The sequence below is a fragment of the Homo sapiens genome, chromosome 8, assembly GCF_000001405.40.
Source record: "Homo sapiens chromosome 8, GRCh38.p14 Primary Assembly".
NCBI lineage: Eukaryota > Metazoa > Chordata > Mammalia > Primates > Hominidae > Homo > Homo sapiens.
Window position 1 is genome coordinate 86,333,070 of NC_000008.11, and position 20,472 is coordinate 86,353,541.

The 20,472-nt window shown below is 40.9% G+C and overlaps 1 protein-coding gene and 1 long non-coding RNA gene across 18 annotated transcripts in view, besides 1 other annotated feature; one reads left to right on the top strand and one right to left on the bottom strand.

The window, feature by feature from the left end:
- Positions 1–204: 204 nt before the first annotated feature.
- On the bottom strand, positions 205–11,365 carry WWP1-AS1 (WWP1 antisense RNA 1). Of its 9 annotated transcripts, none has more exons than XR_007060994.1 (6): positions 11,204–11,365; positions 10,521–10,591; positions 10,013–10,207; positions 5,197–5,318; positions 2,634–2,692; positions 205–1,130 (listed from the first exon to the last, which is right to left on the bottom strand). It is a non-coding gene; the product is annotated as a WWP1 antisense RNA 1 (long non-coding RNA). The 9 variants fall into 9 exon arrangements; XR_007060990.1 differs by having other exon boundaries at positions 205–1,706; XR_007060993.1 differs by having other exon boundaries at positions 2,634–2,721.
- The window catches only part of WWP1 (WW domain containing E3 ubiquitin protein ligase 1), a 125,957-nt gene continuing 114,962 nt past the window's right edge, over positions 9,478–20,472 (top strand). For all 9 annotated transcript variants that reach the window (NM_007013.4, XM_024447056.2, XM_005250761.5 and 6 more), the window contains exon 1: positions 9,478–9,861. The gene's annotated coding sequence lies outside the window, so the exon portion shown is untranslated. The remainder of the gene's footprint in view (positions 9,862–20,472) is intronic.
- Positions 9,569–10,028: a silencer, noted in NCBI's record as "silent region_19341". NCBI's record gives its function as "represses an Ori minimal core promoter by ATAC-STARR-seq in GM12878 lymphoblastoid cells {active_cell/tissue: GM12878}" and the evidence as "EXISTENCE:reporter gene assay evidence [ECO:0000049][PMID:35858748]".

Genomic DNA, 20,472 nt, shown 5'->3' on the forward strand with positions numbered 1-20,472 from the left:
AAGAAAAGAAGAGAACTTCCTCAACCTCATAAATTACGTATACAAAAAGCCTAAAGATAGTATACTTGATGGTAAAACACTGAATGCTTTGTCTGAAAATCAGGAACAAGGTAAGGATGTATTTCTCATCACTTCTGCTCAACATTGTACTGGATGTTCTAGTCCATGCAATAGGGCAAGAAAAGGAAATAAAAGCATACAGAATGGAAGGAAAAAAATAAAACTCTTTATTTGGAGAAACATGATTGTATACATAGAAAATCAAAAGAAATCTATAAAATACTACTAGAACTAATAGGTTTTTAAACATGATCTCAGTGTACAGGACTAATATTAAAAAAGAATTGTATTTAAATACCCTATTAATGAACCACTAACAATGAAATATCATTTATAATATGAGGCACTTCAAAATGTTCATGGAAAAATTGAATTAAAAGATAAAGAATATAAACTTTATTTCTCAACATAAGCTCCATCGAGGTCAACCATGGTTGTAAGTGATGACACCAGTCATTTAATCCATCCCTAAAAAAATTGAGATTCATGGAAATTTAACCATGTCTTTTTTACATGATTAAATGACGAAAAATGGGAGCCCTTTGCAGATTTTTTAAGATTAGGAAACAAAAAGAAGTTAGAAAGAGCCAAATTAGGACTGTAAGGTCGATGCCTAATGATTTCTCATTGAAAGTCTTGTAAAATTGCCCTTGTTTGATGAGAAGAATGAGTGGGAGCATTGTTGCGGTAGAAAAAGACTGGTGAAGCTTTTCCAGGAATTTTTCTGCTAAAGCTTTAGCAAACTTTCTCAAAACACTCTTGAAACAAGCAGATATTATTGTTCTTTGGCTCTTCAGAAAGTCAACAAGCAAAATAAGTATCCCAAAAAACTATTCCCACGACCTTTGCTCTTGGCAGGTCTGCTTTTGCTTTGACTGGACCACTTCCACCTCTTGGTAGCCATTGCTCTGATTGTACTTTGTCTTCGGGATTATACTGGTAAAGCCATGTTTCATCTCCTGTTACAATTCTTGAAAGAAATGCTTCAGGATTTTCATCTTACTTGTTTAAAATTTCCATTAAAACTCTGTTCTTGTTTGCAGTTGATCTGGGTACAATGGTTTTGGCACCTGTTGAGTGAAAAGTTTGCTCCACTTTAGTTTTTCAGTCAGATTGTGTAAGCTATGAGATTTGAGTTTTCTATGGTGTTGGCTATTGTTTCTCCTACTAATTGTTAGGCCTCTTGAATGAGGTTATGAACAAGGTGAGTTTTTTCCTTGCAAACTGATGTGAAGGTCTGTCATTGCAGGCTTCATCTTTTACATAATCTCCTCCCTTCTTAAAATGAATTACCCATTTGTAAACTGCTGATTGCTTTGGTGCATTGTCCCAATAAATTTTTCATAAAGCATCAGTGATTTTACCATTGTTCTACCCAAGCTTCCCCATAAATTTGATGTTTGTTCTTGCTTCAACTCTAGCAGAATTCATGCTACTCTGATAGGGGCTTTTTTTCAAACTGATGTCTTATCCTTCTTAGTGACTCAAAATACATCCTGCTCATACATGTTATAGCAAGTTAGTATGAGTTCATCTGGGGGCGAAAAATTTTAAAATCCATGCATAGTTTTTTCAAAATATGCATATTTCTATGAACTTGTTGAAGATCTCTTGCAGCATCAAAAAGCATAACATATGCAAAGAACCTGGAAGAGTCAAAATCATTTTGAAAAAGAACAAATTTGGAAAATTTACACTTCCCAATTTTAAGACTTTCTAAAGTTATAGTAATCAAGACAGTGTGATATTTGTGTAAGGATAGACATATGGTTCAATGGAAGGAATAGAGAGCCCAGAAATAGACAGAGTTTTCACAAAAGTTCCAAAGTAATTCAATGGGGAAAGGATTGTCTTTTCAACAAATGGTATTGAAACAACCATATATCTATTTAGAAAAAAAAAATGAACATTGACTCTTTCATCTCAGCATATGCAAAAATTATTTTGAAATAGATTATAGACCCAAATGTAAAAGCTAAAGCTATAAACTTTAAGAAAAAAAGTATTAACAAATCTTCACTGTCTTAAAGTAAAATTTCTTAAATATGTCACAAAATGATGTGAACTTCATCAAAATAAAAACATTGACTTTTCAAAACACATTGTTAAGAAAATGAAAATGCAAGTATATTTGTTGTATAAAAATTTCTCCAAAACCTAGTGACCGAAAACAATAATACAGATTTATTATTTCTCACAGTTTTTGCAGTTCTGGAATATATGTATTTCTTGGCTGGCTACTTCTGGCATAGAGTGTTACGTGAGATTGCAGTCATCTGAAGACTTGAGAGGGATTGGAAGATCCATTTCCAAGGTGCCACATATGGCTAGCAAATTGCTGCTGTCCATTTATCAACAGGCCTCAGTTCCTGTCTGAGGCAAGACAGCAAGACAAAATCCTTGCTAAAGCACTGTCTTTCTCTAGAGCAAGAGTACCCCAAGGCAGCAAGGTGGGAGCTGCAATATCTTTTATGATGTTGTCTCAGAAGACAGGTACTATCACTTCTACAATTTTCTCTTGGTCACATAGGTCAGTCAATAGGGGAAAGTACTGTATAAGAGTGTATACATACCAGGAGTCCAGAATCAATGGGGTCCATCTTGGGGGCTGACTGCCATAGCAAGCCATAATCTGGGAGAAAATATTCACAACACCAATATCTGACAAAGGATAGTATAAAAGACAGAATATACACACCCCAGTAATAAGAGGAAAAAACCAATTTGAAGTAGACAAAAGGTTTGAACAGATACTTCTGTTCAAATACACACATGCCCCTTAAGGACAGGAAAAGATACTCAACATGATTAGTTATTAGGAAAATGCAAATTTAAATACAATAATTGAAAATTAGAAGGATTACCAAACATTGGAGAAGAAATGAAGCAACTGGAACTCTCATATATTACTGGTGGAAATGGAAATGGTACAACCACTTTGGAAAACAGTTTGGCAATTTATCATAAAGTTAGATATATGACAATATGACCTAGCTGTTTTACTCTTAGGCATTATTTATCCAAGAAAAATACTTTTAACCAAATGTTCATAGAATCTTTAGTCATAGTAGCCAAAAACTGGAAACAAACCAATTATCTATGAATAGGACAAAAATAAACAAATTGTAGCAAATCCATACAAGGGATCACTACTCCACTAGAAAAGAAGAAATAACTACTGCACAGAATATTACAAATGCATCTCTGAAACATGCTGAGCTGAAACCACATACAACAGAGTATATACTGGATGATACCACTTATATCAAATTCTTGAAAAAGTGGGCCGAGATGCAGTGGCTCCCACCTGTACTCCCAGCACTTTGGGAGGCTGAGGCAGAAGGATTGCCTGAGGCCAGGAATTTGAGACAAACCTGGGCAACACGGCAAGACCCCATCTCAACAAAAAGTTAAAGAATTAGCTGGGCCCTGTGGTACATGCCTGTAGTCCCAGTTTCTCAAGGGGCTGAAGCGGGAGAATCCCTTGAGCCCAGGAGATTGAAGCTGCTGTGAGCTGTGTCAATGCCATGGCACTCCAGTCTGGGTGACAGAGTGAGACCCTGTCTCAAAAATAAAAAATGAAATTATGTAAAAAGTAGAATTATTCTACAGTGACAGAATGCAAACAAGTAGTTACCTAGGACCAGAAGTAGTTGGGGGGAGGAAGGGCTTGAGAATACTTTTTGCCGTGTTGGAAATGTTCTGTATCATGATTGTGGTAATAGTTACACTGGTGTATTCATTTGTTAAAATTTATTGAACTGTACCATTAAAATGAGGTTAGTTTAGTGTATATAAACAATACCTCATTCAGGTCAATTAAAAAAGAGTATTGCAAAAATAAAAATAAAAAGTCTAGGCATGGTGGCTCATACCTGTAAATGCCAGTGTTTTGGGAGGCCAAGGCAGGAAGGCCTGAAGTTCAAGACCAGCCTGGGCAAAATAGTGAGACCCTGTGTCTATAAAAATATTTTAAAAATAAAAACAAAGAGTATCAGTAAAGGCCAGGTGCGGTGGCTCACTCCTGTAATCCCAGCACTTTGGGAGGCCAAGGTGGGCAGATCACCTGAGGTCAGGAGTTCAAGAGCAGCCTGGTCAACTTGGTGAAACCCTGTCTTTACTAAAAATAGTTTTTAAAAAAGACCATCACAAGAAATAATTTCCTTCATAAGATATAACTGCTTTAAGTTATATCTTATGGCATGGGAAGCCCTTAAGACTGATATACCTACTTACTTTGTTCGGTACTTATAGGAAGGTAAACAGGAGAGGGGAACATCAGAAGAGGAGAGGACTGCCTCATGTTGGTATTTCACTCCTTCAAAGGAATTCTTAAGGAAGTGCAGATTGTCCTAAGGGGCACTGCTCTCTATGCTATCTGAGTTTTGGGCTTTGACCAGAAGGGGAGCATGAGAATGAGGAGAATACTAAAGAGGGCTAAGTAACAAGCACTTGGGTGATAGGATCATTTGTACACCAAGCCTCAGTGACACGCAATTTACACATGCAACAAACCTGCACAGGTATTCCCTGAACCTAAAATAAAAGTAGAAAAAGAGAAAAAAAAAAAAGAAACAAGTGAAGCAGCATTCAAATGAGTAATGGAAGTGAAGCAAACCCCACCTCTTTCACAAGTACAGGTGAAATAGGAAACTTTTAAAGTGCAAGGGAAAATAGGTTGGGGCAGTTTCTCAGCTTCAGCATTAATGCCATTTGGACCTGATCATTCCTTGTTTTTTGAGTGGAGTGATGGGGCTGTCTTGTGCACTGTAGGATGTTTAGCACCCTCTGTCACATCTACCCACTAGATGCCAATGGAACATCCAACCTACCCCCATGAAAAATGTCGTAAGCCATTGCCAAAATCCCCTGGGATATGAAATGGTCCCAAGTTGAGAACAACAGGATTAGTGTATTTGTTATCTATTTCTGGATAGATATAAATTATCTCCCAAATTTAGTGACTTAAAACAATAAGCACTTATTTTACCGCTATAGTTTCTATGGGTTAAGCATTTGAGAGTAACTGAGTTGGGTGGTTCTGGTTCAAGGTCTTTGATGAGGCTGCAGTCAAGACGCAATCATCTGAAGGCTTGACTTAGGCTGAAGGATCCACTTCTAAGATGTCTCACTCACGTGGTGATGGCAGCAGGCCTCAGACTCTGGTGGTTGTTGGCAGGATGTCTCAGTTCCTTGCCATGTGGGTCTCTACACAGGGCAGCTTCCTGTGTCTTTGCCATATGGCAACTGAGAATGATCTGAAAGAGAGTGGGAGGGGCTCCATGATGCCTTTTTATGGCCTGGTCTTGGAAGTGACACACTGTCACTTTTGCTATATCTGTTAACAACAAGTCACTAATTACAGCCTACATTCCTTTTGGAAGAGAATTAGGCCTCACTGGTTTATTTTTTTTTAATTTTATTTATTTATTTTTTTTTGAGAGGGAGTCTTGCTCTGTTGCCTAGGATGGAGTGAAGTGGTGCCATCTTGGCTCACTGCAACCTCTGCCTCCTGGTTTTTTGTTTTTATTATTTTTGAGACAGAGTCTTGCTCTCACTCTGTTACCCAGGCTGGAGTGCAATCATGATGCACTCATGACTCACTGCAGCCTTGACTTCCTGGGCTCAAGTGACCCTCCCACCTCAGCCTCCAGAGTAGCTGGGATTACAGGTGCACACCACCATGCCCAGATAAGTTTTTGATTTTTAGTAGAGATGAGGTCTCACTACGTTGTCCATGCTGGTCTCGAACCCCTGGGCTCAAGCAATCTTCTCACATTGGCCTCCCAAAGTCCTGGGATTACAGGCATGAACCACTGTGCCTGGCTAGGCTTCACTTTCTGAGGGCAGAAGTATCAAAATATTTGTAGACATATTTTATTAAGAAATTTAAAAAAATTATTCTTGGAAATATAATACAGACAGGGTGTATTAGTCTGTTCTCATGCTGCTAATAGAGACATACTTGAGACTGGGTAATTTATAAAGGAAAGAGGTTTAATTGACTCATAGTTCAGCATGGCTGGGGAGGCCTCAGGAAACTTACAATCATGGCAGAAGGGGAGGCAAGCACAACCTTCTTCACATGGTGGCAGCAAGGAGAAGTGCTGAGCAAAAGGGGGAAAAGCCCCTTATAAAACCATCAGATCTTGTGAGAACTCACTCACTATCACCAGAACAGCATGAGAGTAACCGCCCCCATGATTAAATTACCTGACACTGGGTCCCTCCCACAACACGTGGATATTATGGGAACTACAATTCAAGACGAGATTAGGGTTAGGGATGGTGGCTCATGCCTGTAATCACAGCACTTTGGGAGGTCGAGGCAGGAGGGTCACTTGAGATCAGGAGTTCAAGATCAGCCTGGCCAACATGGTGAAACCCCGTCTCTACTAAAAATTAAAAAAAAAATTAGCTAGGTGTGGTAGCATGTGCCTGTAATCCCAACTACTCGGGAGGCTGAGGCAAGAGAATCACTTGAACCCAGGAGTGGAGGTTGCAGTGAGCCAAGATCACACCACTGCACTCCAGCCTGGATGACAGAGCAATACTCCATCTCAAAAAAAAAAAAAAAAAGATGAGATTTGCGTGGGGACACAGCCAAACCATATCACAGGGTTTGTCATGTTGGTCAGGCCGGTATCAAACACCTGGCCTTAAGTGATCCACCTGCTTTGGGCTCTCAAAGTGTTGGGATTACAGGTGTGAGCCACAGTGCCCGGCCTGTAGACCTATTTTAAAACCACTACAGTTAGAGAACAATTTTTTAAACAAATGGTTTGGGGGAATACCATGAGCTATTTTTAAAGGAATAAAAGTTAGATTATCATTGCAAAATAAATCCAAGAAAATTAAATTATTTAATGAAAAAAGTAAAATAGTCAAACAAGTAGAAAAAAGTAAAGACAGATGAATTATATGATCTCAGGATGGGAAAGATGTATGAAGTAAAAAACAATGGAAGAATACAAAAATGGAAAAGATCAATAGTTTTACAAAGGACTAATATCTACATTGTGTGAAGCACCCTTTTGTGAAATACCTCAGTAAGAAAATGGACAAAGGACAAACAATAAGCTACCATACATACACATATGAAAACATACCATGATGATTTGGGCACATGGAAGAAGGACAATCACATACTGTCATGTAGTGTTGTGGGAAAATTGATAACCATTATGACAATCATTTCTTGATTATGTGCCATGCTCATGTGTTAAGTAGCTCTATGCGTGTTATTTATAGCAATTTATATATATTTTTTAATACAACATGTGGAAGCACTATATTAATTTTCTAGTTGAGACACAATTAGATTAAGCAATTGGCCAAATCTCTCAGCTCATAGGCAGCAGGAGGGTCAGGTTATCCATTAGGCACAGTAGACACAGTGCCTCAGGCTTATAACACTTTCGGGGGCCCATAAAAATGTTTTAATTTCTTTTAAAATCAGAAGGCAAAAAATTGAATATTTAGGTCAAAGAAAATATTTTAATGTATAATGTTAATATCTTTTTCTTCATACCAATGCAGTAATAAAATATATTTTGTAGTATTATTTTATGGAAGATGAGGCCCACACAGGTATAAGCACCTAGGGCCTGTGAAAGTCAGAATGTGGCACTGGGTGGCAGAGCTGTGTTTTGATGCTGGGCGATGTGATACCTGAGCCTATGCTCTTTCTGGAAGGTAGTTGCCAATATGTTTCAAAAGGGCTAAACTTGTTCATACTTTTTTATTACTTTTAATAATTTATCTAAGACAGTTAATAAGGACATGAACAATGGTTATGGAATACTATTTATAATATTGTTCATTTGAAACCAAACAGTCAATAACAAAAGGCTGGTTCAATATTGGGTGTCAGCTTGAGGACTAGGTGAGTACTAAGAGCTTCTGAACGGGGAGGAAATTGAGCAATGAGGGGAGCTGAAAGTGAGACACAGAGCAGGAAGAGGAGGCCTGCATGCATTCTGGAGAAGGAGTCCAGATCCCTGCTGGGGAATACCTACGGAATTTCTGAGGACGTGTTTGTAAGCACATTATTGCATCTATTTAAAGGGACCAGACAGCAAAAGCAAAAAGATGAAGAAAATCTTAGTACATGTTTAAAGCAGAGATGAGTGGGCACATATGGGGCACTGTGAAGAGTTTTTCATAACAGGAGAGATAGAGCATGTGAGCATCAAAGGAACCTTGAATATCACGTTAATCTTTGTCAGGAGAGCTCCGAAAAGCCAAAGAATGATTTTAAGCAGTGGAATGACACAGATGTATATTTTCGAATGATCTTTGTGGATATAATGTGCACCAATTTCAACTATGAAGCCAGAGGACAAGAACTAATGCATGGAGGTAGGCGGGAATGTGCATTGTTCAGTCAAGAGATACTTGTTGAATTCTGTACACACTCATGAAGTGTTGGGGTTGTTTTTGGTACACAGTTCTTTCAAAAAGCTCAGTTAAAATGGAAGGGGAGAGAGAACCAGAGGTTTTAAAATCAAGGGAAAATTTAGGACCTAATCTTAAAACGTGATTATGCTGAGGAGTTGTAGGCAGTGGAGAGGGTGAAGTTAAAGATGTGCCAAGGACCGCCCACAGTGGGGAGCAGGCAGTGGAGAGGAGCAGGGACATCTAGCCTCCGAGATAGAAGGAAAACTAGTAAGTCTGGGTGTGGACGTAGATATAATCTATGGGGGTTGGTCAGGTGGTTGGGCAAAAGCTGTAGAAATCCATGCCTGAAGGCTTCTGCTTCTCTGAAGTAGAAACCGGGTCACCTGGTAAGCAATGTGGTCCCACTGACTTCTATTTGCACATTGGCCTTTCTTCTAAAAGCAATACACATAACCAACAGTACTTTTCTAAACTAGTTGACTTTTCTGTAAAATGCAGACAGTAGACACTACTTTGTCAGATTGTTGTGTGCGTTAATTGTGCGGACACGTATACTCGGTCAATAAGTATCTGCTTTATCACCGGGCTGATGTGAGTGAGGACTAGGTGGTGGGGCTTCCACAGATGAACGTTTTGATTAATAAAAAATGGACTGAAAGTCTTCGGGTATGACCAATGGCTAAATGCAATTATTTACTCTTGCAATGTGTTCGAGGTCACCCAGCTAGGTCAAGGAGTATTTATGGACAGCCTACTTTTGCCCCCGGACCTTAAGAAGTCCTGCTCCGGGATCAGCCGCCGACCGGAAAGTCAAATTAGCAGTGCCCAGCGCGAGCTTAGAGCAGCCTCTTCCCAAATCTCAGCGGCGGCCCCGCCCCTTCCACACGTTCAGGCCCCGCCCCTCCCTACTATTGGCTGTCCGTCCCCCTCCGCTAGACTGCTCGGAAGACCCGGAGGAGCGGAGTTTTCCTAAGGCAGCATCCGAGCGCCCTCGCTGCGCATGCTCGGGGGAGGCGGATTCCGGGTCCGGAGTTGGAGGCTTTGGGCGGCCGCGGCGTAGCGCGCGGTGCCGGGGCCGGCGGGGAGGCGCGCGCTTAGGGCGCGGCGCCGGCGACGCGGCCACGCGGCGCGCTCCCGAGGAAGGGAGGTGTGGGGTCGGCTGGGGGTGGCGCGTGGACGGGGTGGGGGTGGGGGGAGGGTCGGGTGTCGGCGAGCTCCGCGTGCGGGTTCCGAGTGGCTGCTGGCGGCCTGGGCTGCCGGGGCCGACGCCTGGGTGGCTGCTGCCGCCGCGCCTGCTGCGAGATGGCGATCTTGGGCGCGGAAGGGTGAGGGCGCCCGCCGCAGGAGGAGGTGCCGCTGCCGTGGCCGCCCGGCTGCCGGGAGCCGACAGCTTCGCGCCGGGTAAGGACGGCGCGGCGCGGGGCTGGGGGTGCGAATGGGCAGGGCGGGAGGGGGCACGGGCCCTGAGCCTTGGCCGCGGTGCTGGGCGCCCGGCGCCGTCCGCCCCCGGGCTGGACCCTCCTAGGACCCGTCGGGGGACGGTCCGCCCTACCTTGGCTACCTTCTCCAGCCCGGGAGTCGGGAGTTTTCTGGGGTGGGGTCACGGGTCTTGCCCGGAGTTCGCCCTGGCAAAGGCCTGTGCCAGTGATCCTGGAGCGGAGCGAAGTGTTTCCGTGACTCTGCAGCCGCAGTTCTTAGGCTTCCTTAGCCTTCTCTTCGCCTTCCTCCACCTTTCCCTAACACCTCCCTGAAAACACAAATACATGGACTCATTGCCCGTTCCCTGACTTTCACCCCAATTTCAGCGTTGCAAACCAAGGACTCCAGCTTTGGAACGTCTTTTTCTGACATGTTTTTATCACTCTCCGTTCTTCACCGACTCTGCAGCTCCCCATCCCCCGCCCCCCCAGCGCAACCCCCACCTCCACCTTTTGTGACCTGGTAGGTTCCAGTGACCTTGCAGATTTTACCAGTCCTTATCTTGTCTGTGACTTACAGACTCTCCTTTCATCTTCGTGTTCTTTTTTTAAAAAAATTTAATTTTGTAGTTTGCTCCTTACCTTTACGACCTTTAAATGATCAGTCTTGTTCACAGTCCTTTCTTTGCTCTGCCGATTTGGAGTTTTCTCTGCTGTGGTAAATATATGAAACCTTCATTACCAAAGAAGAGTAGTGTCTGTTATAATTTTGACATTTTTACTCTTTCAGAATAAAATATTTTCCAGGGGCTTGATTTTGCCTTCTTTTTCTATTTGATAAGTTTAACAAATTTTTTTCTGTGTGTGTGTAGGTTAATGTGGAACAAGATTTTGTGTTTCTGCTTTAAAATGTTACTGGTAATAGTAGTGGGAAAAAAAATCATGTCCAAAATTATCTTTGTTTTCCCCGTTTGGTGTTTTTACCTGAAATAGTTGGTTTACAGTTACCTGCATTTTTTTTTTTTAACAAGAGTTCATGTTTATGTGTAAATCCACTTTACCTGCCTCACCAAATCTGTGTGTATTATACAAGCAAAATGCACCTTTTAAAGAAGAAAGTCGTTCTTTTATTGTGTGACTTGTTTTTAGCCATCAAGTAGTAAATTAGCTGCAACTAGAAATGATCATTTTTCATAAATGGTTAGTATTTTAAAAAATGGAAAGTGTAGTGGCCAAGTATTGGGAGCTACTCAGATTGAGAATTGTAAAGTATGTGGAATAGTTCTTTGGGACATAGCTTATCAACATTTTCAGATAGTTCTTACCTTAAAATGTGAAACTGCTGGTAAGATCTACATCAGGGTTTTGAAAAGCAATAATTATGAGCTACCGGCATAATACAGGATGTCGCAGATAAAGTTTCTGCCTTCAAAGAGATGGTAATCTTTGCTGTTTACCCCACGGTGGCTGAAATTTCCTTTACTTCCTTGTACAGTTGTTAAGCATTTACTGCATAATTGTGGGAGGTATTTTGGGAAATACAAAGATGAACCGATTAGCAATTTCTGCCTTCACACTAATTAGGTAGATAGTGCTATACACAAATGCCTTATTTGTCTTTTAATATATAAGTTTCATAAATGGTACCAAAATCCTCTCAGAAGTCAACTTCAAAGAGAGTAGAGCTCAGATCTTACTTGGCAAGGTAGGGATAAGAGGGTTAGTTTGTAGAGCTCCTGGCTTCTGAAATCGTGGTTTTGAAGGACGATTATGACTTTGGATAGGCAGGAAAGGTAATCCTAGCAGAGAGGTATCTCTAAGAGAGCACAGAGTTCCTGTTTGGGGAAAGGCAGGTAATTATGTTTGGGTGGAACATAAACTTATTTGTACCAGGATAAAGGGTGATAAAACTTGAAGTAAAAATTTGGACCAGTTTATGGGTTGTTTTTAATGCCAGACTTATGACCTTGGATTTACCCGGTGGTGGGGCTTCCACAGATGATTTTGAATTGGGAGTGAAACAATTTGAACACTTTGTTTCAGAAGGATTAGTGGGATAGAGGTCTGTAGTGTGAACTGAGGTAGGGAGACCCTGGAGGTAGAAAGACCTCCCAGTTGTTGTAGTCATGGATAGTGAGGATCTGAGCTGTGGTGCACGCGAATGGAAAGGAAGAAAGGAAGTCGAATAGCCAAAATTTGATGAGAGGGCAAATGAAAGTAAAAATAACTGATTCTGATCCAGGTTGGTTGGGAGAACAGTGGTACCATTTTGAGCAAGATCATGAAGCTTTACCCTCAGCATATGTGTGCTACTTTACAACTTTTTGGAGATTACTAATTCTTGGTAAAATGCTGGCCTGGAAAATTTCCATATGCGCCTATGCTTTGTGGATATAATTTTAGGGGAGTCCATGGAACACCTGAAAGTCATCCATGACACTCATCTCAGAATTTCTTGGAGCTTTTTTTATTTTCGAGGCAGGATTTCTTTCACTCCTGTCCCTGTGGCTGGAGTGCAGTGGCGCCTTCTGGGCTCATTGCAACCTCCGCCTCCCAGGCTCAAGAGATTCTCCTGCCTCAGTCTCCCGAATAGCTTGAACTACAGGCGCTTGCCACCACACCCGGCTAATTTTTGTATTTTTTTTTTAGAGATGGGGTCTCACTATTTTGCCCAGGCTCGTGTTGAACTCCTGAGCTCAAGTGATCAGCTTGCCTTGGCCTTCCTAAGTGCTGGGATTACAGCGTAAGCCACCCTGCCGGGCCTACTGGGAGCTTTTTAAAACAGTAGAACCTTCAGGTTCTTCTGTGTACTGATAAGAACTCTTACTGTAGAGATATGCTGTATATATACAGAAACACAATATTACATTTGTGTTGTGGTTTACAGTTTACAGAGAATTTTGACTAATGTTATTTGCTATTATATTACACAATAAACTATTCCTGGAGTTTAAATGATTTGCCTGAAGCATCATTCAGCTGGTGGGTAAAGTGGAATCAGGAGATTGTTGACAATGATGGTGTTCTTTCATGTATGAAGATAATGCAGTGGCTTTACCATCAATTAAATATAGTTACTGCCTTTAAATGACCTTGTCAGTAAGACTAGATGATCCCACAAGATTCCTTCTAGTTTTTAACATTTTGTGATTCTCGAGTCCTAGACTTTCATCAGAGTATCTACTCTCCTTGTTTAATATGTGCATGAGAGCTGGTGAGTCTGAGGGATGAATTGGGTAGAGAAGAGCAGTTAGCAATATCAGATCATTCATTTGGATTGTTACTTTCTTTGTATGTCTCACTTTGGGCTGGGGAGTAGGGAGGAGAGAGGTGATGTAAGTGAAATAAGAAACTTTAAGAACTTTATTGGGAGGCTGAGGCAGGAGGATGGTGTGAACCCGGGAGGCGGAGCTTGTAGTGAGCCGAGATTGCGCCACTACACTCCAGCCTGGGCAACAGAGCGAGACTCTGTCTCAAAAAAAAAGAACTTTATCTTCTCTGTTCATTTATACCTTCAGAATATTCTTTTCTTTCAGGAAGCCTTTATCAAATAAAAATGGAGACTTCACAATGTAAATGAAGATTCCTACTCAATTTTTTTTGGGTGGATTAAGTAGCTAGCTAGTACGGTTAAAGTGTAGTGCGATTGGTAAACAGTTGACTTTTCTGCACCTGTAAGATTATCTCCCTGGTAATAGGTAATCATAGCATGTTATTACATGTTAATAAACTTTGATTTCATAATTATTAGAAAGACTGTTGTTTTTTACTCTTTGTATAAAAATATGATACAATTATAATGAGCATTGGAAAATCCAATAAATTGCCCTTTATAGTGGTATCCAAGGAACTAGTTACTAATACTTAATGGAGGAAAAATGATAAAAACATACACAGATGAATTTTATTGTTTTTGCTGGCATTAAGAATTGTACTATACCTTATGTTAGTATAGCATTTCACATTTGTAAATAATAACTATATTTATCATTTGGTTCTCATGACAACTGATAAGTTGGTGTGTTAGGAAGTAATAACTGCTTTATATTTTATTTTATTTTATTTTATTTATTTATTTTTGAGACAGGGTCTTGCTCTGTTGCCCAGGCTGGAGTTCAGTGGCACAGTCATGGCTAAACTGAAGCCTAGACCTCAGCCTCCCAAGTACTTGGGACTACAGGTGTATGTCATGACACCCAGCTAAATTTTTAAAATTTTTTATAGAGATGGGGTCTTGCTGTGTTTCCTCAGGCTGGCCTCGAACTCCTGGACTCGTGGCCCTCCCACCATGGCCTTCCAAAGTGCTGGAATTACAGGCGTGAGCCATCGCTTCCAGCCAATCATTGCTTTTTGGATGAATATGCTGAGGCTAAAAAAAAAGTTTAAAAAGTTAAATTTCCAAAGTATGTGGCTAGTTAGTGGCCACAATTAGAACTACAACTAAAACCCTTATTTTTGTTCCTATGTCAGTATTCTTTTCCCACCAGACTTCTTACTCTTCATGTACAATGGAACATCATTAGTTAAGAGCTGTATGTGAAGGATTTGAATTTACCTGTTTGGAATGTGTTAAACTTTTGTACCGTGTAGAGGTAAACTTGTCAGTTTTTTCCTTTGTGTTAAAATGGTAATCTCACTGCAGTGGCTATTGGTAGGTGATATTTAAATTTGTAAGCATTGTACCACAGAATAGTTATTCTCCTGTCAAGGATAAAGCAAAAGTTGATTTCTTATCTGGAAAAGTACATTGGTGAAATGTAGATATTTATTTTTTTGAAAATTTTGAATTTAATTCTGTTGCTTTTACAGATGAAGTTTGTGTTTCCCTTTTATAAAAGCTTAGTCTTCAAAAATTTACATTTTTTGAGGATATAAATGAGGATCTAATTTCCAAAATATATATAGATTGGGTATCCCTAATTCAAAGTTTGAAATGCTCCAAAATGGGAAACTTTGAGCCACCTACATTACTCAACAGAAACATTCACTGGAGTATTTCAGATTTTGGATATTTGGATTAGGGATACTCAACCTGTATCATGATATTTTATTATTTTTGTATTAGATCATAAGCTCTACCATTGAAAAAAACCCAAAGATATTAAAAAGCCCTCCTTAGTGGATGCTTCAATTCATACATTTAAACAACTTTTTTAGGGAATGTATAATGTAAAACCATACGTCAGATGGTTTTTAAGTTATAAGGAAGACTAGCATGGTTTTTAAGTTATAAGGAAGAGTAGCATTTGTTGATTTAGTCTTGACATTTCTTTTTTCTTTTTTTTTTTGAGACGGAGTTTCCCTCTTGCTGCCCAGGCTGGAGTGCAATGGCGCAATCTTGGCTCACTGCAGCTTCCGCCTCCTGGGTTCAAGAGATTCTCCTGCCTCAGCCTCCCAAGTAGTTGGGATTGCAGGCATGCACCACCACACCTGGCTAATTTTGTATTTTTAGTAGAGACGGGGTTTCTCCATGTTGGTCAGGCTGGTCTTGAACTCCAGACCACAGGTGATCTGCCCGCCTCAGCCTCCCAAAGTATTGGGATTACAGGCATGAGCCACCACGCCTGGCCGTCTTGACATTTCTTAAATCTACAGTTCACTCACAGCACATACTGGCGTACCTACTATGTGCCAGACATATTTCTAGGTGCTGGGAGTACAGTGTTGAGATGACAGATATGAAGCCTTTCCTCTTGGAACCTGGAGTTTAGTGGAATCACTAACATTAACAAGGGCATAGAACTTTATCTTCTCAGGTTGTAATTTTGCGGAGTGTAATTAATTATACCTCTCCTTTTTCTGGGGTTTGAACAAATTATGCAGAACACACAAGGAACCAGGTGAGTGTTGTTTCAGTTATGTACTGCTGTGTAGCAAACAGCCCTAAACCAAGTGACTTAAAACAACCATTTTCTTTGTTACAGTTTTGCTTTCCTGGGTTGGGCTCAGTTGGGCAGGTTTTGCTGGTGATCACTCTAATGGCTGCTTTTCTCTCCAAGTAGCCTTTCCAGCAGAGTTGCTGGCCTTACCTGGTAGCTGATGGCTTAGGGCTCACAAGAGTACAAAACAGAAGCAACCAGATCTTTTTTTTTGAGAGGGAGTCTCACTCTGTCACCCAGGCTGGAGTGCAGTGGCTCAGTCTTGGCTCACTGCAACCTCCACCTCCCAGGTTCAAGCAATTCTCCTGCCTCAGCTTCCCGAGTAGCTGGGATTACAGGCGTGCACCACCATGCCCAGCTAATTTTTGTATTAGTAGAGATGGGGTTTCACCATGTTGGACAGGCTAGTCTGGAACTCCTGAGCTCAGGTGATCTGTCCGCCTCGGCCTCCCAGAGTGCTGGGATTACAGGCGTGAGCCACCGTGCCTGGTCTGCAACCAGATCTTCTTAAGGTTTAGACTTGTAAGGGATACAGTATCATTTCTGCCTTATTATACTGGTTAAAGCAAGTCACAAATCTAGCCCAGGTTCAAGGGTACAAATGTGTGAATCCATTTGGGGCCACCCATGTAACAGATTACCATAAATTTTATTTAAGTATAACATCAGCTTTACTATACCAAAACAGGACTTACGGAAAACTGTTTTGGAAGCTGAAGCTTAGGCAGCTTACTACTTTCCGCAAATCTGGATTTTGAGTCTGAGCATGCCACAGGGAAAGCTGAGTCTAAAAAGTGCAAATGACAGCACATCTGGCTTACTACGCAAATGGGAATACCTAGCACTCTCCTTGGTTAGAAAAGAGGAGAACATTTGTGGCCTCTGAGGTTTTTCCTAGTGTGCCACCATAATAGGGTAGGATTGACTTGCCTTCTGCTTGAGGGCAGTGGGATCTAACAAAGTACAGGACCCAAGAGTCCATGCTGCTTGGAAGTAGTGATTTACCCGATCTCGTGAATTGGAACAGACAGCATCCCATGCAGAAAATGGGCCACAGATGGGCAGAGATCGATTCCCTCTGCCCTTGTGATTGGATTTGAGACCTAGGGGAGAAGGGTTTCTTGACTATCACTCTGGCCTTGACCAGAGTGAGCAACCTGTCCCCCACGCGCTCCAAGCCCCAATGGCATTTTCTGTTTGCAGTGTCTTGAAAAAGCTTGGGATAAGCTACTCTTCCTTGGAGAGGTGTCATTATAGTGGAGAGAATTCTCTTTCCTTCTAGAGACTGGAATGGTAATCCTCTCTTATGGAAATACAATGAATAAGGTGCTGCTTCTCCTTTCCAAGAACAGGTAGATTCATTGATTGCTATCTGGGTTTTTCTCGCATTATCACTTAACCTTATCCACTATCGCTTTATTTTAGTCTTAGCAGTATTTTTTGTTTGTTTGTTTTTAGTTCAAGTTGGCTGCTAAGTAATGCCATGGTTAAAGGTGAAATGAAGAAAATGAGTGTTTAGTTTTTATTACATTATAGCTTCTGAGTGGAGTAGTGAATGCATTTCATTTTAAGAATTTAGGTTATTAGTGCATAGCTGCGAAGCATTTTTGAAGCATTTCATGTACACTAAAAAACGGGCCCCTGCATCCTAATGCAAATCTCTTTGCAAATTTCTGAAAATAGTACATTGGCTGTTGCGGGGAGGAGTTTGGTAATTGGATGTACTGAGAAACATGATTTATAGAAATAGGAAAGGCCAGGGCACAAAGAAGGGCACGGATAGAGTTACATGAAGGTGCTTCTTGATGGCTGTCCTCCCTACCCTAAATTATTTGGGTAGTTAAAAAATATCCTAGCATTAACAGAATGTAGGTATGATAGCCTTTTAGGAAACAAGGAAAACAAGTTCTTTTGATAGCTGTTCAGTATACTCATAAATCTGATTGACTGGGCTGGGTGGAAGCTGACTGTTGAGTCCTGACTTGAAATTAGGATACTGTGGTTACACATTAGCCCCAACTTGCCAAGATGTCCTACTTTTTGTCTGTGTTTAGTTAGACTGGGGAGGAGAATTAGTTAAATGAACCTGTTTTGTATAAAGTAGGATATTCTTTACCTTAGAAGTAAACAAACTAGATTGTTCTTCTCTTTTTAAGTTTTTAACGGTAGAGGCACTTTTGGCATACAGGTTAAGAGTCACAGTTTAAAGTCAGGCAGACCTGACTTCTGGTAGTATTGCTTAATGGCAGGATTGCCTCAGTTTCTTCTTTTGTAAAATGTAAAGAATACCATCCTTAATGGATTTTTGTAAGGATTAATTGAAATAATGTTTATAAAGCAGAAAGCATGGTGGCTAGAACGTAAGCCCTTAAATCATGTTTATTGCTCGTAATTCAGTATTATGAAGTTGAAAATTCAAACAAGTATTCACTTTGCTGTGAGCTACTCATTTCTCAAAGACAGTTCTAGCTTCGTTTTGGCATGGGCAGAGCTCCTTATCAAATTTCCACCCCCAGCTTTTTTTTGAGACAGGGTCTCCGACAGCTCTGTCTCCCAGGCTAGAGAGCAATAGTGTGATCATGGTTCATAGCAGGCTTGACCTCGGGGGCTCAAGCAATCCTCCCACCTCAGCCCCACAAGTAGCTGGGACTACAGTTACGCACTAACATGCTCAGCTAGTTTTTTTTTTTTTTTAGTAGAGATGTTGCCCAGGCTGGTCTTGAATTCCTGGGCTCAAGTGATCCCCCCTACCTCGACCTCCCATAGTGCTGGGATTTACAGGCATGAGCCACCAGGCCTGGCCAAATAAACAAAAAAAAAGTTGCTAAAAGGGTAAGCACGAAATCTGGGATACTGACTTAACATGGCTGGCAATATATCAGCTAGTGATGGTTTTGCTGTGCAGCCTGGGAACAAGAAATCATTAACACCATCATTAGATGAAATATTGTATTGACCAGTGTTTGTCAAAGCGCAATCCTTATATAACAGTCGTCTGGGATGCTTATTAAACATGTTGATTCTTGAGTATCCTTTGAGATCTCTGATATGGTCCTTGAGAGTGGAGCTTAGGGATCTTCATTTTTTGCAAATATCTCAAGAGATTTTATGCACATTAGTTTGAGAACTGTTGGTAGAAACTGAATTGGTTATTTGGGGTCCTAGTGTGCTCTGTCAGAGTTCATTTTTCTAGCTAGCTAGCTAAAATATTCCTTTTTTTTTTTTTTTTTTGAGAAAAGGTCTTGTTCTGTCACCCAAGGCTAGAGTGCAGTGGCAAGATCATGGCTCACTGCAACCTTAACCAACCTCCTGGGCTCAAACGATCCTCCCACCTTAGCCTCCCTAGTAGTTGGGAGTACAGGTGTGTGCCGCGACACCTAGCTAATTTTTTATTTTTATTTATTTATTTATTTATTTTAAGACAGAGTCTTACTGTCACCCAGGTTGGAGTGCAGTGGCGCTATCTCGGCTCACTGCAACCTCTCCCTCCCAGTTTCAAATGATTCTTGTGCCTCATCCTACCGAGTAGCTGGGATTACAGGTGCATGCCACCAGGCCCAGCCAATTTTTGTATTTTTAGTAGAGACGGGATTTTACCATGTTGGCCAGGCTGGTCTCGAACTCCTGGCCTCAAGTGATTCACCCGTCTTGGCCTCCCAAAGTTCTGGGATGGATTATAGCCATGAGCCACCGTGCCCTGCCTAATTTTTTATTTTTCTTAGAGATGGGGGTCTTACCTTATTTCCCAGGCTGGTCTTGAACTCCTGGACTCAAGTGATCCTCTCACCTTGCCCTCTCTCCCAATGTGCTGGGATTAAAGTTATGAGCCACCATGCCCAGCCCTCAAGTATTCTTTAAGTACACATGTGTAATGTAAATACAAAGAGAGCTTAACATCTGAACCTTCCAGATGTTTAAAACAGCCTAAGATAATTGCCAAGGACTTGATCCAAACAAACTCTAGAAACTTGATACAGGGTGATTACAGTGAGGAGTAGGCAAGAGAAATGATACTGCAAAGAGATGTCCATTAGGCTTCCTTGTTCAAAACATTTCCTCCGTACTTCTTTCTACAAAAGCAGAAATTATTTTGAGTGAAGCTAATTCTTTTTAAAAAATGCCTACTAAAAGTTAAGCTAGAAGTTATGATTCATTATTAAATAGTCTGATTGCTTTTCACTTAGCTAAGGTAAGCCACTTAAAAATAGAGATTTTTGACTGAAATGTGTCAAATTTGGAATTTGGTCTTTTGACTAGAAAGTAGGTTGGTTGGGGGCATGATGTGTCTCTTATAGGGAAAAGCTTTTGCTTAGGGTAAGGGCGTTGACTTGGAAAGTCATGAGAAAAGGTTTGAATTTTAAATTAATGAAAGAAACAAAACAAATTTCAAGCTAATCTCTAACTGTTATTTAGGGCCAAAGTGATGACACCTACGGGCTACTTCACTTAAACCCTCCTCAGTCCTGTGACCAGCAGGATCCAAAATCTGATCCTGTCATCAGAAGAGTAGATCTTTTTTCCTGGAAAAACCTAAAAATATGGTTGAAATAAACATAGGTTGCTATGTTAGTAATTTTGTGGTCAAAAATATGCCAAACCCATGATTTATTTTTTCTCAATTTGAGTAGAAAGGATTAGTTTGCATTTCTTTTTGAGGAGCCTATTGTTTTTTTTTTCTTCTTCTGAGACGGAGTCTCACTCTGTTGCCCAGGCTG